The following is a 26,680-nucleotide window of genomic DNA, read 5'->3' on the forward strand; positions in this document are numbered from 1 at the left end:
TTTCTGTTCAGTGCCCCAGCCCATTCAGGCACCTAGCCCTTCTTGCCACCTTCCTTATTCCTTTCTGATCTCAGCTGGATAGATAGCTACACGTGGCAGGGGCTTGGGCATGCAAACCCGTGAGATTTCTGGAACATCAGGCCCCTGCGTGTAGGGAAAGCAGGCACAGGATTGGTGTGGTCTGTGCCAGCAGCTGTGAGGCTGCTGCTGGGGACATCCTGCCGCTGTGTATACCCTGAAACCCCGCAAAGTGGGTGGGTGGTCCAGGAAAGGGTAAAGGCATGGGGATCCCCTGAGGTTGGATGGAGGCTTCTCAGCCTCTGGAGTAGGACAGTCATTCTCTGCTCTGATAGTGCTGTGCTTCTCACACTGACAGTACGAGGCCCATGTGCCTGAGAATGCAGTGGGCCATGAGGTGCAGAGGCTGACGGTCACTGATCTGGACGCCCCCAACTCACCAGCGTGGCGTGCCACCTACCTTATCATGGGCGGTGACGACGGGGACCATTTTACCATCACCACCCACCCTGAGAGCAACCAGGGCATCCTGACAACCAGGAAGGTGAGTCAGTTCGGGCCTCAGACAATGGCTATACCTGGGGCAGTCAGGTCTGCAGCCTTCAGGATGAGGAGCCACTGTCTACCGTGGGCTAGTCCAGGAATCGTACCAGCCCAGTGGCTCCCAACACTGTTCTACCACTCTTGTGTTGGGAAGTCCCTTTGTTCAAACTAAATCTTACCCAGGAGCCCACTTCATAAATAGGTAAGAGTCACTGATTAATTGAAGCACATCAGTGGAGCCTCCTCCCAGACCACAGTGTCCAATGGCTGCCCCGAATCAGTCTCACATAGAGAGTCCATCTTATTGAAATCCATGTTGACTTTGCATTTACTCTAAAACTCATGTCTAGGTGTTTAGATAATAAAATGTTTTGAATCACTGAGGCACACTCTTGCCTCTCAAAAAGTCTCTTTTTTGTGTGTATGTATTTTTGTTTTTATTGGGGTATAGGACGTGGGTTGGGTCAAAAAGTCTGAATAAGGCTGGGCGCAGTGGCTCACACTTATTCCCAGCACTTTAGGAGGCTGAGGTGGGAGGATCACTTGAGGCCAGGAGTTTCAGATGAGCCTGGTGAACATAGCAAGATCCCATCAGCACTAAAAAAGAAAAAAATGAAGATGGGCCTAATCTTGCATCAGTTTCTTTTACTTCCTGGTTTACTATGAAGAATGGTGTGGTTTGAGAAGCAGGGTATAAAATATTGTATGAAATAATATATTTTAAAGACTGGGGTTTGCTGTCCTGTTTTCTGCAACAAATACTTTGTAATGCCACTTCGACATTGTTAAATGATGTGAAATGAAGTTCATTTATAATATAACTAACCTAACTCATTATTTCTAAAAATAGAGAATGTCCTAACTAAAATAAAGAAAAAATCCAGACCGGGTGCTGTGGCTCACGCCTGTAATCCCAGCACTTTGGGAGGCCGAGGTGGGTGGATCACGAGGTCAGGAGACCGAGACCATCCTGGCTAACATGGTGAAACCCCGTCTCTACTAAAAATACAAAAAAATTAGCTGGGCGTGGTGGCAGGCGCCTGTAGTCCCAGCTACTTGGGAGGCTGAGGCAGGAGAATGGCGTGAACCCGGGAGGTGGAGCTTGCAGTGAGCCGAGATCGCACCACTGGACTCCAGCCTGGGTGACAGAGCAAGACTCTGTCTCAAAAAAAAAAAAAAAAAAAAAAAAAAAAAGAAAATCCAGCCTGGACAACATGGAGAAAAAAAAAAAAAAAGAAAATCCAGCCTGGACAACATGGAGAAATCCCGTCTACGCTAAAAGTATAAAAAATTCGCTGGGGCCGGGCACGATTGCTCATGCCTGTAATCCTAGCACTTTGGGAGGCCGAGGCAGACAGATCACCTGAGGTTGGGAGTTCGAGACCAGCCTGGCCATCGTGGTGAAACCCGTCTCTACTAAAAATACAAAAATTAGCTGGGCGTGGTGGCACATGCCTGTAGTCCCAGCTACTCGAGAGGCTGAGGCAGGAGAATCGCTTGATCTCGGGAGGCGGAGGTTGCAGTGAGCTGAGTTCGCATCACTGCACTCCAGCCTGGATGACAGAGCGAGACTCCGTCTCCAAAAAAAAAAAAAAAAAGCTGGGTGCGGTGGCACACACCTGTAGTCCCAGCTACCCAGGAGGCTGAAGTGGGAAGATAGCTTGAGCCCAAGAAGGTCGAGGCTGCAGTGAGCCATAATGAAGCCACTGCACTTGAGCCTGGGTGACAGAGCAAGATCCTGTCTCAAATAATGGTCTCAAGCAATCCAGCAGCCTTGGCCTTCCAAAGTGCTGGGATTACAGGCATGAGCCACAATGCCAGGCCCCCCAGTTTTCTCAAACATCACCACCACTCCACTGGGAACCATTGATCTAGGGCTTATTAATACAGTTACTTTTAGGATGGTCTGAGAGGCCCCATTAGATGTGCACTCAGGAAACACGGGAGTGTTTATGTTACAGAGAAAGGGCAGCACTGTTGCTAGTGAGGGCCTCAAGCCCCTCAGTATTGGTGTTTTCCTTCTCACATCTCAACTGTCCTGCACAGGACCTCCTCTCAAAATGGTGGTCCAGGTCCTTCTTCCTCTTCTCTCCTAGGGTTTGGATTTTGAGGCCAAAAACCAGCACACCCTGTACGTTGAAGTGACCAACGAGGCCCCTTTTGTGCTGAAGCTCCCAACCTCCACAGCCACCATAGTGGTCCACGTGGAGGATGTGAATGAGGCACCTGTGTTTGTCCCACCCTCCAAAGTCGTTGAGGTCCAGGAGGGCATCCCCACTGGGGAGCCTGTGTGTGTCTACACTGCAGAAGACCCTGACAAGGAGAATCAAAAGATCAGGTACTCAGGAGCTGGGCTCAGTAAGCAGCACGTACTGGTACAGTTGGTGGGTGGGTGATCATGGCCAACGTTTGTTCTGATTACCATAGAGATTGTTAAATAGGAATATCCCTCCTGCATAGGTTCTCTTCTTCCTACCCTCTTTGAGGCTGAAGACTGAATAGGGGTTTGGGGGCAGGTATTTCTCACTCTGTCATGTATCCCTCCTGGGACTCCTGCACCTGCTGCTTTAGGTCCCCGTTTATGGGCGAGGTGCATTTTCCATATGATCCTGCTTAGGAGCCCAGAGGCCATCTGCCAGTTGGTATGAGGAGGCCCTGAATGATGACATCAGAATTCTAAATATTCTGGATGTACTCGTCTCAACTTTTCCTCTCCAGCTACCGCATCCTGAGAGACCCAGCAGGGTGGCTAGCCATGGACCCAGACAGTGGGCAGGTCACAGCTGTGGGCACCCTCGACCGTGAGGATGAGCAGTTTGTGAGGAACAACATCTATGAAGTCATGGTCTTGGCCATGGACAATGGTGAGAGCATCCTCCCAGCCCTCCCACAAGGGCCACTTTTGGTTCTCAGGTCACATGACACAGCACAGCATGTTTCCTCCACAGGTGGGAACATGTGTCGAGGAGGGCTATTTGCAAACCAATCCAGACGGTCAAAGGGGTCTTTCAGAGGAGTCTTTTAAAGACTGGTCCTAGGCCGGATGCAGTGGCTCATGCCTGTAATCCCAGCACTTTGGGAGGCCAAGGCAGGTAGATCACCTGAGGTCGGGGGTTCGAGACCAGCCTGGCCAACATGGTGAAACCCCGTCTCTACTAAATATACAAAAAATTAGCCGGGTGTGGTGGTGTGCACCTGTAGTCCCAGCTACTCCGGACGCAGAGGCAGAAGAATCACTTGAACCTGGGAGGTGGAGGCTACAGTGAGCCAAGATCGTGCCACTGCACTCCACCCTGGGTGACAGAGCGAGACTATCTCAAAAAGCAACAACAACAAAAGACTGATCCTAGGGACTGGCCATGATTCCAATTTCCCTAAAACCCAAGAGTTGGGAGGGAGCCAGGTGTGGTGACTCAGGCCTGTAATGCTAGCACTTTGAGAGGCCTAGGCAGGAGGATCACTTGAGCCCAGGAGTTCAAGGCTGGCCTGAGAAACATACAGAGACCCTGTCTCTACAAAAAATGAAAAATTAAAAAATAAGAGTTAGGGCCGGGCATGGTGACTCAAGCCTATAATCCCAGCACTGTGGGAGGCTGAGGCAGGTGGATCACCTGAGGTCAGGAGTTCTAGACCAGCCTGGCCAACATGGCAAAACACTGTCTCTACTAAAAACATAAAAAATTAGCTGAGTGTGCCGCCTCCCAGTTCCCGCATCAGTGGCCTGCACAGGGCCCTTGGGGCGAATTGCAGCACGCCTCGGGGCGAGCGGCAAGGGCTGGGGTGAGTGCACCTGCACCCAGGCGGTCTTTTCACGTGTCGCCAGGGTCAGACCGCATGTCTCTCCTTGCGGCGCTACACAAGAGCAGAGTACGAGTCTGAGGTGGAGGGAGTCATGGCAGGACAAGCATTTAGAAAGTTTCTTCCACTCTTTGACCGAGTATTGGTTGAAAGGAGCGCCGCTGAAACTGTAACCAAAGGAGGCATTATGGGTCCAGAAAAATCTCAAGGAAAAGTATTGCAGCAACAGTAGTTGCTGTTGGATCGGATTCTAAAGGAAAGGGTGGAGGGATTCAACCAGTTAGCGTGAAAGTTGGAGATAAAGTTCTTCTTCCAGAATATGGAGGCACCAAAGTAGTTCTAGATGACAAGGATTATCTCCTATTTAGGGATGGTGACATTCTTGGAAAGTACGTAGACTGAAATAAGTCACTATTGGAATGGCATCAACGTGAAGCTGCCCATTCCACTGAAGTTCTGAAACCTTTCATCATGTAAATAATTTCCATATTTCTCTCTTATAATAAACTAATGATAACTAATGACCAAAAAAAATAAGCTGGGTGTGGTGGCACACGCCTGTAGTCCCAGCTACTCAGGAGGCTGAGGCACGAGAATCACCTTAACCCAGGAGGTGGTGGTTGCAGTGAGCCGAAATTGTGCCACTGCACTCCAGCCTGGGCAACAGAGTAAGACTCTCAAATAAGTAAATAAAACATCAGCATTAGGAAAGTCCCTTCAGCCTTAGTTTTTGGTTCACTGGGTCCTGAATTGGCCTGTCAGTTTTCCCTTGTGATTGATTGATAGGGGCTGACTGGAAAGTGCCATGACAGATTAGTGATGCCACACCATAACAGATGGGAGGTTATGACGTAGTTGTCACCTCTGGTTGACATGTAATGAACCAGGACCTGCAGGCAGGTGAGAGGTTGCAGCAGGGCTGTGAAGGGAAGCTTCCCTGAAGCTGATCGACAAACACTGGAGTAACCCTGAAGTAGCCGGTAGGTTTCGCCTTGTGGTTATAGTGGCTGTCTGGATGAAGTGGCTGCAACTGTGTCATGATAGTTAGTAATGTCTGCTGTGGACAGAAATGAGAATGATGGCTCAACTGGCATGTATGTGCCATGTATTGGAAGCAAGGGCATGGAAGGTCTTGAGAGGTGAGAGCTGGGCGGTAAACAGGAGGAGCCCCCCTGAGGCTGACTGGGTGGGTCACAGGGAGCTCATCATATGTGTCATTACAAACAGGAAGCCCTCCCACCACTGGCACGGGAACCCTTCTGCTAACACTGATTGATGTCAATGACCATGGCCCAGTCCCTGAGCCCCGTCAGATCACCATCTGCAACCAAAGCCCTGTGCGCCAGGTGCTGAACATCACGGACAAGGACCTGTCTCCCCACACCTCCCCTTTCCAGGCCCAGCTCACAGATGACTCAGACATCTACTGGACGGCAGAGGTCAACGAGGAAGGTACCTGAGTGAGTGGTGGTAGCGGGTGGGGTGCCAGCCCCACTGGTGGGCATCTGCCCCACACCAGGATTCTGCACACGTTCCTATCCTAGCATCTTGTGGGCCATGGGGACAATGATCTCCTCTAGAACCTCAATCAGATGCTATTTATTAACCTGGTGGAGGTCTTTGAAATTCCACAGGACCCCTAAAAGACCATTCTAGCCCAACCGCCTTCCTGTGTAGATGGAAAAACTGAGGCCTCGAGGAATCGAACCTATGTAGAGCATGTGAAGTGGACCTGGCACAGAGCATGCTCAGTGAGTGTTGGCTACGATCACTGTGCTGGGTCCTGACTCTCGCTATGTGACATGGGCCAAGTCACTCCCTCCCTCTCGAGGCCTCAGTTTTTCCATCTACACAGGAAGGCGGTTGGGCTAGAATGGTCTTTTAGGGGTCCTGTGGAATTCCAAAGACCTCCACCAGGTTAATAAATAGCATCTGATTGAGGTTCTAGAGGAGACCGTTGCCCCCGTGGCCCACAAGATGCCCACCACACCCGGCTGCGTTATGGCTTTAAAAATAATGTCATGGCCACACGCAGTGGCTTACACCTGTAATCCCAGCACTTTGGGAGCCTGAGGCGGGCGGGTCACCAGGTCAGGAGTTCGAGACCAGCCTGGCCAATATGGTGAAACCCCGTCTCTACTAAAAATACAAAAATTAGCCAGGCATGGTGGCATGTGCCCGTAGTCCCAGTTACTCAGGAGGCTGAGACAGAAGAATCGCTTGAAGCCGGGAGGCGGAAGTTGCAGTGAGCCGTGATTGTGCCACTGTACTCCAGCCTGGACAACAGAGTGAGACTGTCTCAAATAAAATAAAATTAAAATGTCACTAGGGTTTTTTGTTTTTGTTTTTGTTTTTGTTTTGAGACGGAGTCTCACTCTGTCTCCCAGACTGGAGTGCAGTGGCACAATCTCAGCTCACTGCAACCTCCGCTTCCCGGGTTCAAGCAATTATCCCTGCCTGAGTAGCTGAGATTACAGATACCTGTCACCATGCCCATCTAATTTTTGTATTTTTTAGTAAAGGCATGGTTTTGCCATGTTGGCCAGGCTGGTCTTGAACTCCTGACTTCAGGTGATCCTCTCGCCTTGGCCTTCCAAAGTGCTGAGATTACAAGCATGAGCCACCACACCTGGCCTATCAGGATTTTAATCTAGGCAGTCTCACTCACCATGGTGTGGAAAATAAAAAGCATAAGCATTATGGCCAAAACCCAGTGTTATTAATACCTGTAACAGTATTGATCAGTATTGATAACCTGGTTCTTGGCTTTAATTTCATTTTTCTGTTTGCCCTTGTTCTGTTGTCAGGGAAATTAATCTAGACTCTACTCCATGTGACCTCAGGCTAGTTACCTAACTCCCTAAGCCTCAATTTCTGCATTTGTAAAATGAGGATAACAGCAGTTCCCACCTCTTAAAGCAATGGTGAGGATCAGGGTAGGGCCTGGCACTTAGTAAGTGCCCATTTAGCCGGGCAAGGTGGCTCATGCCTGTAATCCCAGCACTTTAGGAGGCTGAGGTGGGCGGATCACGAGGTCAAGAGGTCAAGACTGTCCTGGCCAACATGGTGAAACCCTGTCTCTACTAAAAATATAAAAAATAATTAGCCAGGCGTGGTAGCACATGCCTGTAATCCCAGCTACTCAGGAGGCTGAGGCAGGAGAATCACTTGAACCTGGGAGGTGGAAGTTGCAGTGAGCCAAGATCGCGCCACTGCACTCCAGCCTGGGTGACAGAGCGAGACTCTGTCTCAGAAAAATTAAAAAAAAAAAAGAAAGAAAGAAAAAGTGCCCATTTAGTCACCACTGCCATCGTCATCAACAACTGAGAAATCAGCCTTATAGGATGGCAGAGATGTTTTAGTGACATATACCCCATGTTGGCCACTCCACATGGTCGACTAGTTGTTCAGACTGGAGAGCTGTCTCTGCCTCCTGGCACTAAATGGGGACAGAGTGGATTCTGCCTTCTGGCCCTTTGACTAAGAGGAGCCCAGCGAGAGTGCAGAGCATTTTAACTTGAAATCTGTGCTGAGATAGGCTGACAACCCGGGGAGGGGGTGGGGGTAGAAACGTGGGGGTTGTTTTTGATTGCCCCAGTGATTGGGGGCACTACGGGCATTTAGTGGTAGAAACCCGCAATGCTGTGGCAAATCCTGCATGATGAAAAAACTTCCACACAGGCTAACAGCTCCCTTCTTGAGAAAGTTGAGTCTAAACCAAAGGCCTTTCTTTAAAGAGGCCACTGATATTATGTTCGTCACCCACACACATAGCCCCTTCTCCACTCTGGGATTGCCACGCAGTCTCCCCCGAGTGGTGCCCAGTGTGCAGGCTGGGCTGGGCCTGGCTTCTGCTCTGTGGTTAGCCTGCCACCCCCTGGGCCTTGGAAGGCCAGTTAGCCCAATACCTGCTGCAGCCTCATTTCTGACATTCCTGCATTTGTGTGATCACTAATGCTGTGATAACACAGGTTAGCATCTGATCGGATCTGCTCAACATTAGCACTTACATAACCAAGTCATGTGCGTTTAGTTTTATTAATAATTGAATGCGGCCTGGCATTGTGGCTCAGGCCTGTAATCCCAGCACTTTGGGAGGCCGAGGTGGGGCAGATCACCTGAGGTCAGGAGCTTGAGACCAGCCTGACACAAAATCCACCTCTGCTAAAAATACAAAAACTAGCTGGGTGTAGTGGCGCAAACCTGTAGTCCCAGCTACTCCAGAGGCCAAGGCAGGAGAATCGCTTGAGCCCATGAGGCAGAGGTTGCAGTGAGCTGAGATCGCGCCACTGTACTCCAGCCTGAGTGATAGAGCAAGACTCTGTCTAAAAAAAAAATTGAAGGCCGGGCACCGTGGCTCACGCCTGTAATCCCAGCACTCTGGGAGGCCGAGGAAGGTGGATCACGAGGTCAGGAGTTTGAGACCAGCCTGGTCAAGATGGTGAAAGCCTGTCTCTACTAAAAATACAAAAATTAGCCAGGCATGGTGGCGGGTGCCTGTAATCTCAGCTACTCAGGAGGCTGAGGCAGGAGAATAGCTTGAACGTGGGAGGCGGAGGTTGCAGTGAGCTGAGATCACGCCACTGCTCTCTAGTCTGGGTGACAGAGCAAGACTTAGTCTCAAAAAAATTGAATGCTCAGTTGGAAATATGGGTGTTTCATATAAGATTGGGCTAGCTATCAGCTGCTCTGTCTATGGAGTAGCCATTCTTTATTCCTTTACTTTCTTTTTTTTTTTTTTTGAGACAGTCCTGCTCTGTCGCCAGGCTGGAGTGCAGTGGCATGATCTCAGTTCACTGCAACCTCCACCTCCCAGGTTCAAGTGATTCTCCTGCCTCAGCCTCCCAAGTAGCTGGGACTACAGGCACGTGCCATCACGCCTGGCTAATTTTTGTATTTTTAGTAGAGACGGGTTTTCACCATGTTGGCCAGGATGGTCTCGATCTCTTGACCTCGTGATCTGCCCACTTCGGCCTCTCAAAGTGCCGGGATTGCAGGCATAAGCCACTGCGCCCAGCCCTCCTTTACTTTCTTAATAAAGTTGCTTTTACTTTAAAAAAAAAATGGGTTAGCTATCTTTTAGGAAGAATATTCTTTTTGAAGCAAAAAAACAGTGTAGCAGCCAATGATGCAAAGAAGTTATTGGTCCTGCATGACATGGCTTTTAAAACTTCATGTTATAAAAATACTGTGATTATTGATTTTTTTAAAAGTAAAATGACAAATTAATTTTTCTATCCCAATAATCCTTTTCATTATGGTGAATTTTGCTTTAGCCAAAGATCAGCTTTTACTGCTATTTTCCAAAGTGTGCTTGTGGAGTATTTCTCTGCATTGCCCACATGTGGAAGCCGTATTCTCAAACTTTCTTCATGGTGTACTCAGATCCCCGCACTGATGGTTCCCACAGCTAATCAATGATCTGTTCACTCCAGGTGACACAGTGGTCTTGTCCCTGAAGAAGTTCCTGAAGCAGGATACATATGACGTGCACCTTTCTCTGTCTGACCATGGCAACAAAGAGCAGCTGACGGTGATCAGGGCCACTGTGTGCGACTGCCATGGCCATGTCGAAACCTGCCCTGGACCCTGGAAGGGAGGTTTCATCCTCCCTGTGCTGGGGGCTGTCCTGGCTCTGCTGTGTGAGTACCAGGCCCCCACCCCCTCCCTGAGGATGGGGGAGTTGAAAGACTGGATTCTACCTTGAGCTTTAACTCCTGGAACTAAGAGGCCACCAACATTGCCCGTCCACTCCTTAAACATTTTTTTTAAGACAGGGTCTCACTCTGTCACCCAGGCTGGAATGCAGTGGCATGATCTCGGCTCATTGCAACTTCTGCCTCCCAGGCTCAAATGATCTTCCCAGCTCAGCCTCCCAAGTTCCTGGGACTACAGGTGTGGGCCACCACGCCCAGCTCATTTTTGTATTTTTTGTAAAAATGGGGCCTCACTATGTTGCCCAGGCTGGTCTTGAATTCCTGGGCTCAAGCAGTCCACCTGCCTTGGCCTCCCAAAATGCTGGGATTACAGGTGTGAGCCACTGCGCCCGGTCCACTCCTTAAACTCCTAATTCTAGGAGCATCAGTCAATCAGTAGGTCTTTCTGGGGCTTGTGGAATGTACCAGGCTTTGGGGATACAGTGGTGAGCAAACAGACTCGGCCCTGCCATCAGGTCATCTGGAGGGGCCCGCACAGTGGTTCTGAAAGGGTGGTTTCCAACAGCATTAGCATCACCAGGAATTTGCTATTATTAGAAAGGCAATTTCTCAGGCCCTGCTCCAGACTTACTGATTCAGAAATTTAGGAATAGAACCCAGTAATCTGCATGTTAACAAGCTCCCAAGGCATTCTGATACATGCTAGAGTCTGCAAATTACTGGTCTAGTGGGAGGAAATGTTTAGTTAAAAACAAATTTCTTGGCTCTAAAGATAGAACCTATCACAGTTGTTTTTTCCACATTTTGACTTGGTCTTAATATAGACAACACACATCGTCAGTCAGAGATCAATCATATGAATACAACAAGAACATGCTCTTTGCTGGGCGCAGTGGCTCACACTTGTAATCCCAACACTTTGGGAGGCCAAGGTGGGTGGATCACTTGAGGTCAGGAGTTTGAGACCACCCTGGCCAATGTGGTGAAATCCTGTCTCTACTGAAAATACAAAATTAGCCAGGCATGATGGCACATGCCTGTAATCCCAGTTACTTGGGAGGCTGAGGCAGGAGAATCACTTGAACCCAGGAGATGGAGGTTGCAGTCAGCCGAGATCACACCATTGCACTCCAGCCTGGGCAACAGGGCGAGACTCTGTCTTTAGAAAAACAAAACAAAAAAGAAAGTAGGAAATTAGGTCAGAGCAGTGACAGGCACAGGGTACCATCATGTCAGGCCTCATAGGTTATTGTGAAGACTCTGGGTAGAACTGAAAGTTATCAGAAGGTTTTGAGCAGAGGGGTGATGTGATTTGACTTAAGTTTTGCAAGATTCCTGCTGAGCAGACTATATGGGGGCGAAGGTGGAGGCAGGGAGACCATCTAGGAGGCTGTAGCCATAATCCAGGGGTAAAAAGGTGATGGGAGGCTCAGGCTAGGATGGCAGCATTGAGGTGGTCAGAGGTGGTCATGTTTCAAGGTAGAGTCCCTTCAGATTGATGTGTGGAATTAGGGTAAGACCCATGGATGATCGCAAGGCTTTCGGCTTAAGGAGAAACATGGCATTTCCATTTGCCGTTTTGGGAAGGACCATGGGAAGAGACTTGCCAGGCCAGTCCAAGTGGAGGTGTCAGTAGGCAGCTAGACCTGGGTTCAGAGAAGTCCATTTGGCGTCTTGCCTTCCCCCAGACTCGGGAGAGGAGAGGTTACTGTCTAGCCCACATGTGCATGCATCTTCAGAACCCGTGGACTCCCAAGGAAGGTTGGGTCTGTTTTGTCTGGCCAAGGACAGACAGCAGTTCCATCAGCAGGCAAAAAAGTAATGATCCTGAGCAGTGGTGTATGCTCTTAAATCGAACTGCCATAGAGAGATGGCTAGAGGGTCCCCTCTTAATACAGGGTTAACTGTGTGTAGGCATGAGAGAGAAGGCAGCCAGGATCCCCAGTTGGCCAGTTCCCCCCATGTCCAAATAGCCTGCCAGCCTTTCAGACCACATCACTGAAGCCAGGCCCTTTTAAAATTCCAACACTGGGGCTGGGCACAGTGGCTTATGCCTGTAATCCCAGCACTTTGGGAGCTGAGGCAGGCAGATCACCTGAGGTCAGGAGTTAGAGACCAGCTTGGCCAACATGGTGAAACCCCGTCTCTACTAAAAATACAAAAATTTGAGATCACGCCACTGCATTCCAGCCTGGGTGACAGAGCGAGACTCTGTTTCAAAAATAAATAAATAAATAAATGGGCCCCTGTAATCTCAGCTACTCAGGAGGCTGAGGTGGGAGAATCACTTGAACCTGGGAGGCAGAGGTTGCAGTGAGCCAAGATCCTGACACTGCACTCCAGTCTGGGCAACAGAGCGAGACTCCCTCTCAAAAAAAAAAAAAAAAAAAAAAATTCCGGCCAGGCGCAATGGCTCACACCTGTAATCCCAGCACTTCGGGAGGCCAAGGCAGTTGGATCACTTGAGGGTGGGGGTTCAAGACCAGCCTGGCCAACATGGTGAAACCCTGTCTCTACTGAAAATACAAAAATTAGCCAGGCTTGGTGGCAGGCACCTGTAATCCCAGCTACTGGGGAGGCTGAGGCAGGAGAATGGCTTGAACCTGGGAGGCGGAGGTTGCAGTGAGCCGAGATTGCACCAGTGCACTCTAGCCTGGGCGACAAGAGTGAGACTCTGTCTCAAAAAAAAAAAAAAAAAATTCCAACACTGCATTCCACGTAAGTTTAGATTACTGTACCCTATGAAAGTTGCATTATCTTGTTCTTGAAGTCTGTGGCTAATTAGGGGACATCTGGTGACTAAAAGAGAGTCTCATTGAAAGACAACATCTGCTGGGAGGTTCCCATCCCGACATCCCGACGAAAGGTTTTCTTAAGGATCAGTACCACCAATCTGGTTAGACTGACAGCATTATGGGTGAGGAGAAGGAAGTCAGAATCTTCTAGGAGGAGGTGTTATAAGCTGAGAGCTGACATGTGGGAGCCATGTGTATGCATAGAGTCTGCCAGGTGAGGAAGGAGCCTGTATGAAGGTTCTTAAGGGGAAGTTGCTGGGGGTATTCAAGGAACACAGAGGAGGCCAATGTGCCTAGACCTTAGTGGGTAGGGGGACTTGGAGGCATAGGCTGGGACCAAATCTTGCCAGCCTTGATAAAGAGTTGAAGTTTTCCTAGGTGCAAGTAAAGCCATTGTAGCATGTTAAGCTCTGGCTACTGAGTGAGGACATCTGCAGTTAGAGGGGCTCTGAGGGCCTGGGGGTCTTGGCCCACTGTGTGGTTACAGAGGGAGCACTCACACTCCCCAACCCTTGCAGTCCTCCTGCTGGTGCTGCTTTTGTTGGTGAGAAAGAAGCGGAAGATCAAGGAGCCCCTCCTACTCCCAGAAGATGACACCCGTGACAACGTCTTCTACTATGGCGAAGAGGGGGGTGGCGAAGAGGACCAGGTGGGGCACTGGGGGCTCTGGGATTGGGAGGTGGATGCCCCTAAGGCCACTGGCAGGGCTGTTGGGTCAACCAACTGACCAAGTTAGCTGTGTTGACCAGGCCCTGGCATGAAGCATGCGTCTTCCTTTTCTAACATCCTCCAGCACTTCTCTGGTCCATTGCTGTAGTCTCTTTGGCCCTAGCCAAGTTAACCTCAAGCCTATGTTTAATTTGCTAGGACAAGGGAGGATGGAAACGAGGGTTTTCCAAAATCTGTGACATCATCTGTCTTGTAAGACCTCCCCATGAGCCAGAGTATCCAAAGGGTAGGGGGTGTGGGGTGAGATGTAAGTGGCAGGGGAGTGGGGGACAGGAGTCCTCAGTCACCTGCTCTCCTGCATTTCCCCACAGGACTATGACATCACCCAGCTCCACCGAGGTCTGGAGGCCAGGCCGGAGGTGGTTCTCCGCAATGACGTGGCACCAACCATCATCCCGACACCCATGTACCGTCCTCGGCCAGCCAACCCAGATGAAATCGGCAACTTTATAATTGAGGTGAGGCGTGGCAGGCCAGTCGAGGGCCACCCTTTATTCAAGCCCAGCACCAGCCACACAGGAGAACAAGCATGGGCCTGGAGTCTTGGGTCTGGGTTCAAATTCTGACTCCACCACCAACCAGCTTTTGACCTCTGGCTTATTTGAGTAACTTCTGGGGTTTGTTTCTTCCTCCATAGAACTCACTTGCAGAGTGGTTAAAAATGATTAGGAGGGGCTGGGCACGGTGCCTCACGCCTGTAATCTGAGCACTTTGGGAGGCTGAGACGGGTGAATCATGAGGTCAGGAGTTCAAGACCAGCCTGGCCAACATGGCGAAACCCCATCTCTACTAAAAATACAAAAATTAGCCAGGCATGGTGGCGGGCACCTGTAGTCCCAGCTACTCGGGAGGCTGAGCACAAGAATCGCTTGAACCAAGGAGGCAGAGGTTGCAGTGAGCCGACATCACGCCACTGCACTCCAGCCTGGGTGACAGAGCAAGACTCCATCTCAACAACAACAACAAAAATGATTAGGAGGCTGGGCACAGTGCCTCACGCCTGTAATCTCAGAACTTTCAGAGGCCAAGGTGGGCAGATCACTTGACGTCAGGAGTTTGAGATCAGCCTGGCCAACATGGTGGGAGGTGGAGGTTGCAGTGAGCCAAGATCGCACCTGGGTGCAACTTATGGCTGTAGTGAATGCCGAGAATGAAGTACTCAGACAATTCTAGCTGAGCGGGGCGGGGAGCAGTTCCTTTGAGAGAGCGTCACTCTAAGATCTGTCTGCCAGGTATTTATTGAGAGAGCTTGTTTAAACTACAATTTAGACAAACAAGAGACATCCACCAGGTGGCTCTTGGCGGTCGGGTATGAGGCACATATGGCCTTGTAAAAAACACTCAAACCACATTTTTAGGAGGCTGTGTTCAGCGCTCCTTATCACACATACTACTCCCTGTCCTGTTTTCAAGGTCCAGGAGATCTAGTCTTGTGTACAAACAACATGCACACAGCGCCTCAATATTTTTCCATGCCTCGACCTCACATGCCTCTTACATAGGCTTGAATGTCTTGTCGTGCGCCCCCCACACCTGGGCAACAAAGGGAGACTCCATCTCAAAAAAAAAAAAAAGGCCGGGCACAGTGGCTCATGCCTGTAATCCCACCAGCACTTTGGGAGGCTGAGGCGGGCAGATCACAAGGTCAAGAGATTGAGACTATCCTGGCCAACATGGTAAAACCCTGTCTCTACTAAAAATACAAAAAATTAGCTGGGCGTCCTGGTGGGCGCCTGTAGTCCCAGCTACTCAGGAGGCTGAGGCAGGAGAATCGCTTGAACCCAGGAGGTGGAGGTTGCAGTGAGCCGAGATCACATCATTGCACTCCAGCCTGGGCAACAAAGGGAGATTCCATCTTTAAAAAAAAAAAAATTAGGAATGATTTATTCATTTATTCAACACATATAGCAGTTGAATACTCTGGAGCCAGACTACCTGGGTTTGGATTATAGATCCCAGGTGATTGCACCTGGGGGGCAAAGTTTGGAGCCTCTGCTGTAGAAGACTTCAAGGATTGAACGAGCAGGCAGCTAGGACAGTGCCAGCACAGTGGTTCCCGACCCTGCCTGCGTGTTGGAATCACCTGGGCACCTTCAGAAACCACTGATGCCTCAGCTCACCTCCAAAGATTGTGATATAATTGAACTGGGTGTGGCCTGGGCTTCAGAATTTATAAAAGATTCTCCAGATAATTTAAGTTTCGGAACTACTGACCTAGCATGTAGCGCTTATTAGATAATGATAGCTATTGTTGCGAGGTGCTATTCTAATAACTGCTTTACAGGTATTTACTCATTTACTCATTCATCTGTTCCTTTAAAACTATACGGAGGCACATGTCCTCAGTACCTCCCGAGGCTGTGTCACAGGCATGCATCCTTTAAAAAAGGAAGAAAAAAACTATTGTCATTTTACAGACAAGGAAACAGGCATAGAGTGGTTAAGGGACTCGCCCAAGGCCACAAAGCTAGTGTGTGGTGTGAGTTCTGGCCCGGGCTGTCTGATTTCAGTCCTTGCCCTTACCCCCTGGCCTGTGTTGCACTGAGCACTTGCTGTCTGCTGGTCCCTGAGTGAATGAATTCTGCATGAATAACGCATTCTTTCATTTCTACCTCCAAAACCTTTAGGGGAGGGGAGAGAGGGGCTCACAGAGAGGAAATGGAGGCTTGCAGCTGGCAAGAGGCAGGACCCGCCGCTCCTAACTACCTGTTCTCTGTTGCCGCAGAACCTGAAGGCGGCTAACACAGACCCCACAGCCCCGCCCTACGACACCCTCTTGGTGTTCGACTATGAGGGCAGCGGCTCCGACGCCGCGTCCCTGAGCTCCCTCACCTCCTCCGCCTCCGACCAAGACCAAGATTACGATTATCTGAACGAGTGGGGCAGCCGCTTCAAGAAGCTGGCAGACATGTACGGTGGCGGGGAGGACGACTAGGCGGCCTGCCTGCAGGGCTGGGGACCAAACGTCAGGCCACAGAGCATCTCCAAGGGGTCTCAGTTCCCCCTTCAGCTGAGGACTTCGGAGCTTGTCAGGAAGTGGCCGTAGCAACTTGGCGGAGACAGGCTATGAGTCTGACGTTAGAGTGGTGGCTTCCTTAGCCTTTCAGGATGGAGGAATGTGGGCAGTTTGACTTCAGCACTGAAAACCTCTCCACCTGGGCCAGGGTTGCCTCAGAGGCCAAGTTTCCAGAAGCCTCTTACCTGCCGTAAAATGCTCAACCCTGTGTCCTGGGCCTGGGCCTGCTGTGACTGACCTACAGTGGACTTTCTCTCTGGAATGGAACCTTCTTAGGCCTCCTGGTGCAACTTAATTTTTTTTTTTAATGCTATCTTCAAAACGTTAGAGAAAGTTCTTCAAAAGTGCAGCCCAGAGCTGCTGGGCCCACTGGCCGTCCTGCATTTCTGGTTTCCAGACCCCAATGCCTCCCATTCGGATGGATCTCTGCGTTTTTATACTGAGTGTGCCTAGGTTGCCCCTTATTTTTTATTTTCCCTGTTGCGTTGCTATAGATGAAGGGTGAGGACAATCGTGTATATGTACTAGAACTTTTTTATTAAAGAAACTTTTCCCAGAGGTGCCTGGGGAGTGAACTGTTTTCTAAATAGAAGGTTTATTGGCATCTAACTCACATACCATACCATTCACTTGTTTAACGTTTACAATTCAATGGTTTTTAGAATTTTCAGAGTTCTGCAAAAAGAGTGGGCTCTGTTTACCCTGCTGGCTTCACCCAAGCTTCCTCTCAATGGCAGGGGATACTCAGGGTCAGCTTCCATGCCTAAGTGGGCTCAGGGAGGGGAGACTTGCCCTCCTTTGCAAAGTCAGTTGCTCCATGAGAGAGAACCATTAACCTCTTACCCCAAGGCTGAGCCCCTCCACAGCCCCAGCAAGGTCTCTTCTGGAACAGCGGCTGCCCTCCCTGCAGGACAGTGTGTGACGACTTCCTCTTCTATGCTGGAGGGGTCCCTGTTGAAAGGCAGGGGTTGGGGAACAGCCAGCTCTGCTACTTGCTAGCACATTTTTTTTTTTTTTTTTGAGACGGAGTCTCGTTCTGTCGCCCAGGCTGGAGTGCAGTGGTGTGATCTTGGCTCACTGCAAGCTCTGCCTCCTGGGTTCACGCCATTCTCCTGCCTCAGCCTCCCGAGTAGCTGGGACTACAGGTGCCTGCCACTATGCCCAGCTAATTTTTTTTGAGTGTGTGTGTTTTTTTAGTAGAGACGGGGTTTCACTGTGTTAGCCAGGATGTCTCGATCTCCTGACCTCGTGATCCGCCCACGTCGGCCTCCCAAAGTGCTAGGATTACAGGCTTGAGCCACCGCGCCCAGCGCTGGCACATCATTTAACCTCCAGTTGCCTCAGATTTTACATTTACAAAATGGGGAGTTTTTGTGGAGATTAAGTGAATTAATATCTGGCACATGGTCCATGCAATCTGTTAGTTGGTAACAGCTACCATTTATTCAGTACTTTTAAAGGCCAGACAGGACTTCGATTATTTCCTCTAAATCCTCACAATCACCCTCTGAGGGGACTTTCTCCTTTAAAGAATGGCCACATTGTATTTGTTTTTTTAAATGACATCTGGTCATCATCGAAATCAAGCAAAACAAAATTAAGAGAACCTACCCAAGATGTCAGTGAAATTGGAACATTCCTGACAATACCAGGGCATAAATGCAGGAATCAGGAATAGGCAGCAGTGATAGAACAATTCTGTTTGTGCCCTTGTTAACGTGAAGTTCAAAGTCATCTTTGCAATTAGCCAAAAGAATCTGAAGTGAAGCTGAGGAAATTGCTGATGTTGAAATAAACATTTCCTTCCATGAGGATGACTAATTCTGTAAAGCGTCTCTGCTCAAAGCACAGACCCTGAACCGGAGTTATCGGTGCCACCTGCTGAATCGGAACCTCTAGGCAGGGCCCTGCTGTGGGTTGACAAGCCCTCCGTGGGATGCTCCTGCACACTCAGGTTTGCTGCCAAGACTCTGAAGGATGAGGCCAAGGAGCCTGAAGCCTCAGACTTTGGATGGAGAAACCAAAAGGAAATGAAGTTGGGGCTGGGCACCATGGCTCACGCCTGTAATTCCAACACTTTAAGAGGCTGAGGTGGGTGGATCACTTGAGGTCAGGGGTTCGAGACCAGCCTGGCCTGATCCGCCCGCCTCGGCCTCCCAAAGTGCAGAGTTATAGGCGTGAGCCACCGTGCCCGGCCTACACACACATTTTTGTACTAAAAATACAAAAATTAGCTGGGTGTGGCGCCTATAATCCCAGCTACTTGGGAAACTGAGGCACAAGAATCTCATGAATCCGGGAGGTGGAGGTTGCAGTGAGCCGAGATCACGCCACTGCACTCCAGCCCAGGCGACAGAGTGAGACCCTATCTCAACAACAAAAGGGTATGAAGTCGGATGAGAAAGCTCACCTGTCCTTGGTCCATGGCACCCTCAGGACAAAGCCGCCTCCTGCCTCTCCCACTGAGCTGGGGCCTCAGATTCCCCTCTGCCAGGGCTGTCTTTGCTGACAGGGAGTGTGGGAGGATTGGGTGTCTCTGCTAGCAAACACCTGCTGCCCGTTATCTTCAACTCCCTTCAGAGAAGCCTGGATAAATCAGAAACTCTATCTTCAGCAGAGGCTAATCATGAAACCAAGCAGCCCCTGTTTAGGCTGGCCTTCCTCCCCTGAGATATTTGGAGGAAAAACAGCCTTTCCCAGCCTCAACTGGCCTCGGTGGATGGATGTAGAGTCCCCTGGCAATGGAACCAGTCACCAGCCCCCGAGAGGTTTAGAAAGAATCAGAGCCTGGGCTCTGTGATGGGGACAATATTAAGTCACTCTCTCACTCTGGGCCTGCTTCTCATCTGCAAAACAGAAGCTTAGGACTCTGATCCTTAGTGCCTGTAATAAGTAAAAACATTTGCATTGGTAAGACACCAGCGCTAACCACGCAGAGTGGACACTAACCAGAAACAACTGATGTGCTGGCCATGATGAGGACCATCGGTCCTTTGAATTTTGTGTTTCAACACTTTGGTGTGCCTCCTTCCAGGATCTGTTTCTCCTGTGCATTACACACAATTTTTTTTTTTTTTTTTTTGAGACAGAGTCTCACTCTCCCCCCGGGGCTAGAGTGCAGTGGCACGATCTCAGCTCACTGCAACCTCCACCTCCCAAGTTCAAGTGATTCTCCTGCCTCAGCCTCCCAAGTAGCTGGGATTACAGGCGCCTGCCACTATGCCCAGCTATTCTTTTGTATTTTAGTTAAAAAATATTTTTGGGCCGGGCGCGGTGACTCACGCCTGCAATCCCAGCACTTTGGGAGGCTGAGGCGGGCGGATTATGAGGTCAGGAGTTCGAGACCAGCCTGGCCAAGATGGTGAAATCTCGTCTCTACTAAAAATACAAAAATTAGCTGGGTGTGGTGGCCTACGCCTGTAGTCCCCGCTACTTGGGAGGCTGAGGCAGGAGAGTCACTTGAACCCGGGAGGCGGAGGTTGCAGTGAACCAAGATTGTGCCATTGCACTCCAGCCTGGGCAACAAGAGTGAAACTCCATCTAAAAAATATATATATCTATAGATATATCTATAGATAGGTATATTTGGTAGACACGGGGTTTCACCATGTTGGCCAGGCTGGTCTCGAACTTCTGACCTCGACGAGTGATCTGCCCACCTCGGCCTCCCAAAGTGCTGGGATTATAGGCGTGAGCCACTGTGCCCAGCCTACACACATGCTTTGCATTATACCTTTTCATAACATGGCATATTGACTTACTGTCCCCAACACATCCAGTTTGGATGTGTTATTTAATGTCACCACAATCCATAGATATTGGTCATTCTAATTTTTTGCCCTTAACAATGTCAAACAACTTGCAGCATCCACTTGTGCAGATGCTTCAAAGCCAGTCCTGCATTCTACGGTGGGGTCGGGGGCAGGAGATGGGGATCGTGGTCCCGGTTGAGATCAGGGCTTCCTTGAATGTGGGGTTCACTCTTGGATGACTGGCCCTTGAAAGCACCCCTGGCACTCATTCTATTAAGTGATCTTTTCTCCCAGACTTTTAAAAGGCAAAGTCCCAGAATCCAAGTCCAACAGAAAAGAAAAGTGGAGCTTTGGCCAGGTGTGGCTCACACCTGTAATCCCAGCTCTTTGGGAAGCCAAGGCAGGAGGATCACCTGAGGTCAGGAGTTTGAGACCAGCCTGGCCAACATGGTGAAACCCCGTCTCTACTAAAAATATAAAAATTAGCCGGGTGTGGTGGGGCATGCCTGTTATCCCAGCTACTCGGGAGGCTGAGGGAGGAGAATCGCTTGAGCCCAGGAAGCAGAGGTTTCAGTGAGCCGAGATCACGCCATTGCACTCTAGCCTGGGCAACAGAGCATGACTCCATCTCAAAAAAAAAAAGTGGAGGCTTACTGGAAGAAGGGGTCAGGGGTACCCAGAGAGCCTTCTCTCTAGCCTCATCCTCCCAGCTTGTATTCTTATGAACCCCCAAATCCAGAGCATTTTGAAAAGTGCCCCAATCCCTCCCTGACATTTTACAGATGGAAAAAGAGGCTCAAAAGATGGCACTCCCTATGGCCCCTCCAGTGGGGACAGAGATGGGCCAGCGGCCAGGCCTCACTTCATACCATGCCTTTTCCCTCGTCACTGACCCAACGATCTTTTTTTCTTCCCAAAGGGACTAAAGGGGCTACAGATAGGCCCTGTCCCCACAGTGCGCTTTCCCAGTCCCTAGAGAGGCCTGAGGAGGGTGGCATGCTCTCATTCCTAGACAGTTGGTGAGGAGCTGGGGCCCCGAATTCCCGGCCCCCCATTTCTAGGCATGGACCTCACTCACTCACTTCCGGGCCCACAAAGGGACTCAGGGAGAAGACCCAGCCCGGGGACTGCTGGGGGGTGGCCACTCAGGAAAGGGCCCTGAGGCGATGGGCCTGCCATTGAAAGTGTGGGAGCAGTCACCCTGGGAAGCCCCTTTTACAGCCCACACCCTGTGTGTCCAGTTCGAAGCTTGCTGGAGAGCTCCAGGGAACGACTCCCTCCAGGCTAAAGGCAGAACCCACCTTCTGGCCTCCCGTTAAAACAATCCCCCCAGCAGAGTACAAGTTCAAATCCCGGCACTTCTAGGCATGAGGCCCTGGACAAACCACATAACCTCTCTGTCTCCGTTTTCTCATCTAAAATGGGGGAGTAGGCTGGGCATGGTGGCTCACACCTGTAATCCCAGCACTTTGGGAGGCCGAGGCGGGTGGAACACCTGAGGTCAGGAGTTTGAGACCACCCTGCCCAACATGGCGAAACCCCATCTCTACTAAAAATTTAAAAATTAGCTGGGCATGGTGGTGCGTGCCTGTAATCCCAGCTACTTGGGAGGCTGAGGCAGGAGAATCTCTTGAACCTGGGAGGCAGAGGTTGCAGTGAGCCGAGATCGTGCCACTGCACTCCAGCCTAGGCAACAGAGCGAGACTCCGTCTCAAATAATAATAATCATAATTAATAAATAATAAAATGGGCGAGTAAAAGAGTTAATATTGGCCGGGCGCGGTGGCTCACGCTTGTAATCCCAGCAATTTGGGAGGCCGAGGCGGGCGGATCACGAGGTCAGGAGATCGAGACCATCCTGGCTAACACGGTGAAACCCCGTCTCTACTAAAAATACAAAAAAATTAGCCGGGCGTGGTGGCGGGCGCCTGTAGTCCCAGCTACTCAGGAGGCTGAGGCAGGAGAATGGCGTGAACCCGGGAGGCAGAGCTTGCAGTGAGCCGAGATTGCGCCACTGCACTCCCGCCTGGGCCACAGAGCGAGACTTCGTCTCAAAAAAAAAAAAAAAGGGTTAATATCTGTAAGGGCTTGGAAGGGTGCCTGGCGCACAGGATACTGTGTGTTGTCACTACTGTTGTGGTAGTGTAGGGACTCACAAGGCCTGCTAGCGCTCCCTTGGTGGAAACTGCACTTCCCAGCAGGAGGAATTCCCTGAGATTCCCCAACCTGCAGGGAGTGCCTGTGTCAGGTATGATTTCCCTGAAGGCTCTTTCCCCACGCCCAGCAGAGGGCACCATTCACTCAAACCACCACCACAGCGCATAGAACTCCCAGCCCAAGCGCCAGGTCTGCAGGGAGGGAGGGAGAGAGGAAGGGAACAGTGGCACTGGCTGCCACATGCCACACAGGGAGTCAGCTGGGTGGCCGGAACGGCCTTGGACACTGATGAAGACAGTCAATATGGAGTCAGTTACATGTTCTCCCGCCTCACAACCCTGGGGAGAGTTTCGATGGTTCCCTTTTATTTAAAGGAAATTGCAGCCAGGCGTGATGGCTCACACCTGTAATCCCAGCACTTTGGAAGGCCAAGGTGGGAAAAATCATTTGAGCCCAGGAGTTCCAGACCAGCCTGGGCAACATAGTGAGACCCCATCTCTATTAAAAAACAATTTTTTTTGATTCATCTGAGTGTGGTGACACACACCTGTGGTCCCAGCTACTCGGGAGGCTGAGGAGGAGGATCCCTTGAGCCTAGGAGGTCAAGGCTGCAGTGAGCCGTGATTACACCACTGCACTCCAGCCTGGGTGACAGAACAAGACCCTGCCTCAAAAAAAACGAAAAAATGAGAGAGAGGTTAATGGCCACATACGATCAGGAAGCAGCAGAGACAGTTTTGGGGTCTAGATCTCCTTGATTGCCAGGTGGGCTCTTTTTACAATTAAGGATATAAACTCCAGTTGCAGATGGGGCCGTGGGGCAGGCAGGCCGTAGAAGGTGCCCTTCAGGTAATGCTTATGGCTTCCTGCAAGGTGGAGTTGGCCTCACTGACTCTGAGACTCTGTAGCCCTGAAGCACAAAAGCCACAGCATTCCCAGCCACTTCTGGGGTCCCCTTGAGTATGTGGCATCATCTAAGGCTTTTTTATTCATTCGTTTAACAACTTCATTGAGCACCTGTTCTGTGCAAGACACTGGTTTTTTTTTGGAGATACAGTCTCGCTCTATCCCCCAGGCTGGAGTGCAGTGACGCGATCTTGGCTCACTGCAAACCTCCACCTCCCGAGTTCAAGTGATCCTCCTGCCTCAGCCTCCCGAGTAGCTGGGATTACAGGCGCATGCCACCATGCCTGGCTAACTTTTGTATTTTTAGTAGAGACGGAGTTTCACTATGTTGGCCAGGTTGGTCTTGAATTCCTGACCTCAGGTGATCCACCTGCCTCGGCCTCCCAAACTGCTGGGATTACAGGCGTGAGCCGCCGTGCCCAGCCCCAAGACACTGTTCTTGGTGCTAGGGTTATAGCAATGCAGAAAACAGTAAAAAAGCCCAGTGAGCCGGGCGCGGTGGCTCACGCCTGTAATCCCAGCACTTTGGGAGGCCAAGGCAGGTGGATCACGAGGTCAAGAGATCGAGACCATTCTGGCCAACACGGTGAAACCCCATCTCTACTAAAAATACAAAACATTAGCGCGGCGTGGTGGCACGTGCCTGTAGTCCCAGCTACTCGGGAGGCTGAGGCAGGAGAATGGCATGAACCTGGGAGGCAGAGCTTGCAGTGAGCCGAGATCATGCCACTGCACTCCAGCCTGGGGAACAGAGCAAGACTCCGTCTCAAAAAAAAAAAAAAAAAAAGAGCCCAGCACTAACATGGGGGCTGCAGGTAGATATATGTGTAGGGCCCACATACCAAATGTGTCAAGATCGACATCACAAACTCCTAAGTAAAAGATACTCTATCTTTCTACTTGGACAGGTGTATCCTCACAGTGATTGGGAGAGCCAGATTTAAATCTGAATTCACAGACACCTAGAATACTGGGCTAGAGTGTGCCTCCGTGGGGAGGGTGAGTCCCAGCCCAGGAGCAGCGGCCAGTGCCCTGCTCTACCCAGCCCAAGCACCATCCAGCACCACCAGGCTCCTTGTGTGGCACCCCAACCCATGTGTCCCAGCTCCCTCCACTGTCCCCCAGCACAGCATTCCATTGACCACCCCATGGGCCTTGGAGTACACACCTGGGCTGTGCTGGCTGCCTGGGGACAGAACTGGGGAAGGCCTGAGGGACAAAGATGCTGGTTCTAGTAGTCACATTTCCTTTTTTTTTTTTTTTTTTTTTTTTTTGAGACAGAGTCTCACTCTGTTGCCTAGGCTGGAGTGCAGTGGTGTAATCTTGGCTCACAGCAATCTCCGCCTCCCAGGTTCAAGCGATTCTCGTGCCTCAGCCTCCTGAGTAGCTGGGACTACAGGTGCACAACACCACACCCAGCTAATCTTTGTATTTTTTGGTAGAGATAGGATTTCGCCATGTTGGTCAGGCTGGTCTCGAACTCTTGACCTCAAATGATCCGCCTGCCTCAGCCTCACAAAGTTCTGGGATTACAGGCGTGAGCCACTGTGCCCGGCCAGTAGTCACATTTCCTTAGCTCTATGAGGAGGGGCAGAAGGGCAGGGTAGAGGCCCTTGCTGCCCAGTCTAAGGGAGTTTTCAATGAGAAACAGTCCATAAACAAGACAAATCAGTAAAATACGTGGTCTAGTAAAAGTGAAGCATGGAGGAAAATGGAGCTGGGATGGGGCCTAGGGAGGAAGGGCCTGGGGGTAGGGCTCAGTTCTAGGAGCCAGGGAAGGCACTGCTGGGAAGGTGGCATTTGGACAAAGACTGGAGGCTATCAGGGAGCAAGTATGCAGTGTCCTGTCTACATAAAAGGAATGGCAAGGGCTAAGGGTTTAGCAGGTTTCAGCAGGGTTTAGCAGGGAGGCCAGTGTGGCTGGAGCAGAGGGACGGGTTGAGATGGGTCGAGAGTGTGTGCAGAGATGAGGTTGGACAGGTAAGGAGCGGGGGGCCAAGGCGCCCAGTCCTGGGTGTCCTCCTTCACGCCTGGGCTGGAGGCTGAGTTCAGGGCAAGGCCCAGTCCCAGGAGCCCTGAAAAAGGCCTGACTCAGCTCCATCCCGGGGCTGGCAGAACCTGGTTCCTCCTCTGCTGTATCCTCAGTCCCTGAGGATGCGGCAGGGCCTGTCGGGGCCTGTGGGCAGCTGCAGAGCTGGCAGGCGGGAGCTAGGAGATTCCTCTCTCGGGGAACCGGGGAGCCTGTCTGAGAGCGCCCTGTAGTCTGGTAGGGCGGTGGCTAAGACAGCAGCCCCTAAAGGCTGCAGATGTGGGAGTGACTCACCACCCTGGCCTCTCAGTGGGCTGAAAGGAGACCCCTAGGAGGCGATGGTGGAAAAGCACTCAGTGTTTAGCGCTGAGCCTGCAGTGCAGTTGGGGATCGCCAGGTGGTCACTGCCAGCCTTGTCCTCGCTTGGTATTAGGCCCTCTCCAAGTTAGAGGTGGGGTGGGAAGCCACCCCTGCATTCCCTGTACCCACTGCCCAGCAAGCGGCAGGGGTGTGGCGGGCCGGGGAGGAATCTGAGAGGGGCGGGGCGGGTCAGGAATGCCTGGGCTCCGTTCCAACTTCTGTCCCCACTGTTGTCCATCCGGTAAACCACGGCCAGCCCACAGCTGACAGGGCAGGGCGCTGAGACCTCTGTGTGTCCTCCAGGAACCTGACGACCCAGGCACTCCAGGAAGACGATGCCCACTAATTACAAGAATGATAGACTGGGCGCAGTGACTCAAGACTGTAATCTCAGCAGTTTGGGAGGCCGAGGCGGGCCGGTCACTTGAGGCCAGGAGTTCAAAACCAGCCTGGCCAACAAGGTGAAAACCCATGTCTACTAAAAATACAAAAGATAGTGGGGCATGGTAGAGGGCGCCTGTAACCCTAGCTACTCCGGAGGCTGAAGCAGGAGAATCCTTGAACCTGGGAGGTGGAGGTTGCAGCAAGTCGAGATCCCACCACTGCAGTCCAGCCTGGGTGACGAGCAAAATTCCATCTCAAAAAAAAAAAAAAGATAATTAGTAGGACTTGAACAAATTAAGCAGTTACCATGTGCCAGGTAAAACGCTGAAGTTTCACTCCAAATCAAACCACGTTTCCTCAGAGCCTCTGCACTTGCTGTGCCCTCTGCCTGGCATGCCATTCCCCTAGATTTCTCTCGGCTCCCTCACGTCCTTCAGGCATCACCCACATGTCAGCCTGTCAGAGATGCCAGCCCTGAAGGGGACTGCATCCTCCTTAGAATTGCAGCCCTGCACCCCCCAATGCTTTATCTTTTC

At 50.9% G+C, this 26,680-nt stretch overlaps 1 protein-coding gene and 1 pseudogene across 5 annotated transcripts in view, besides 9 other annotated features; both read left to right on the forward strand.

The window, feature by feature from the left end:
• CDH3 (cadherin 3) overlaps nucleotides 1-26,680 on the forward strand; it is an 88,462-nt gene that overhangs the window by 36,616 nt on the left and 25,166 nt on the right. For 2 of the 5 annotated variants that reach the window (NM_001793.6, NM_001317196.2), the window contains 8 exons: nucleotides 377-562; nucleotides 2,658-2,899; nucleotides 3,280-3,425; nucleotides 5,587-5,811; nucleotides 9,795-10,001; nucleotides 13,330-13,460; nucleotides 13,852-13,998; nucleotides 16,266-18,367. In NM_001793.6, coding sequence (NP_001784.2) covers nucleotides 377-562; nucleotides 2,658-2,899; nucleotides 3,280-3,425; nucleotides 5,587-5,811; nucleotides 9,795-10,001; nucleotides 13,330-13,460; nucleotides 13,852-13,998; nucleotides 16,266-16,475 — 1,494 coding nt within the window. In that variant the 3' untranslated portion in view covers nucleotides 16,476-18,367. Of the gene's footprint in view, nucleotides 1-376; nucleotides 563-2,657; nucleotides 2,900-3,279; nucleotides 3,426-5,586; nucleotides 5,812-9,794; nucleotides 10,002-13,329; nucleotides 13,461-13,851; nucleotides 13,999-16,167; nucleotides 18,368-26,680 lie in introns of those variants that run through there. The other 3 variants (XM_047433450.1, XM_011522800.4, NM_001317195.3) reach the window with 2 other exon arrangements.
• HSPE1P5 (heat shock protein family E (Hsp10) member 1 pseudogene 5) lies at nucleotides 4,401-4,884 on the forward strand (annotated as a pseudogene).
• Nucleotides 17,746-17,890: an enhancer, noted in NCBI's record as "145 bp 16:68733646 sequence used in MPRA reporter constructs". NCBI's record gives its function as "activates a minimal TATA-containing promoter with rs3118233 allelic activity by MPRAs in UACC903 melanoma cells {active_cell/tissue: UACC903}" and the evidence as "EXISTENCE:reporter gene assay evidence [ECO:0000049][PMID:36423637]".
• Nucleotide 17,818: a transcriptional cis regulatory region, noted in NCBI's record as "rs3118233 or 16:68733646 MPRA-significant variant associated with a GWAS melanoma risk locus at 16q22.1". NCBI's record gives its function as "allelic transcriptional activity by MPRAs in UACC903 melanoma cells {active_cell/tissue: UACC903}" and the evidence as "EXISTENCE:reporter gene assay evidence [ECO:0000049][PMID:36423637]".
• Nucleotides 21,441-21,941: an enhancer, noted in NCBI's record as "H3K27ac hESC enhancer chr16:68737269-68737769 (GRCh37/hg19 assembly coordinates)". NCBI's record gives its function as "activates a minimal SCP1, AML or CMV promoter by ChIP-STARR-seq in primed H9 embryonic stem cells {active_cell/tissue: H9 hESC(primed)}" and the evidence as "EXISTENCE:reporter gene assay evidence [ECO:0000049][PMID:30033119]".
• Nucleotides 22,421-22,715: a silencer, noted in NCBI's record as "tiled region #3013; K562 Repressive DNase unmatched - State 12:CtcfO". NCBI's record gives its function as "represses a minimal TATA promoter and a strong SV40 promoter by Sharpr-MPRA in K562 cells {active_cell/tissue: K562}" and the evidence as "EXISTENCE:reporter gene assay evidence [ECO:0000049][PMID:27701403]".
• Nucleotides 25,107-25,664: an enhancer, noted in NCBI's record as "H3K27ac-H3K4me1 hESC enhancer chr16:68740935-68741492 (GRCh37/hg19 assembly coordinates)". NCBI's record gives its function as "activates a minimal SCP1, AML or CMV promoter by ChIP-STARR-seq in naive H9 embryonic stem cells {active_cell/tissue: H9 hESC(naive)}" and the evidence as "EXISTENCE:reporter gene assay evidence [ECO:0000049][PMID:30033119]".
• Nucleotides 25,107-25,795: a biological region, named in NCBI's record as "Sharpr-MPRA regulatory region 1210".
• Nucleotides 25,501-25,795: a silencer, noted in NCBI's record as "tiled region #1210; HepG2 Repressive non-DNase unmatched - State 4:PromP". NCBI's record gives its function as "represses a minimal TATA promoter and a strong SV40 promoter by Sharpr-MPRA in HepG2 cells {active_cell/tissue: HepG2}" and the evidence as "EXISTENCE:reporter gene assay evidence [ECO:0000049][PMID:27701403]".
• Nucleotides 25,869-26,013: an enhancer, noted in NCBI's record as "145 bp 16:68741769 sequence used in MPRA reporter constructs". NCBI's record gives its function as "activates a minimal TATA-containing promoter with rs34565494 allelic activity by MPRAs in C283T melanocytes {active_cell/tissue: C283T}" and the evidence as "EXISTENCE:reporter gene assay evidence [ECO:0000049][PMID:36423637]".
• Nucleotide 25,941: a transcriptional cis regulatory region, noted in NCBI's record as "rs34565494 or 16:68741769 MPRA-significant variant associated with a GWAS melanoma risk locus at 16q22.1". NCBI's record gives its function as "allelic transcriptional activity by MPRAs in C283T melanocytes {active_cell/tissue: C283T}" and the evidence as "EXISTENCE:reporter gene assay evidence [ECO:0000049][PMID:36423637]".

The sequence above is a fragment of the Homo sapiens genome, chromosome 16 (assembly GCF_000001405.40).
Source record: "Homo sapiens chromosome 16, GRCh38.p14 Primary Assembly".
NCBI lineage: Eukaryota > Metazoa > Chordata > Mammalia > Primates > Hominidae > Homo > Homo sapiens.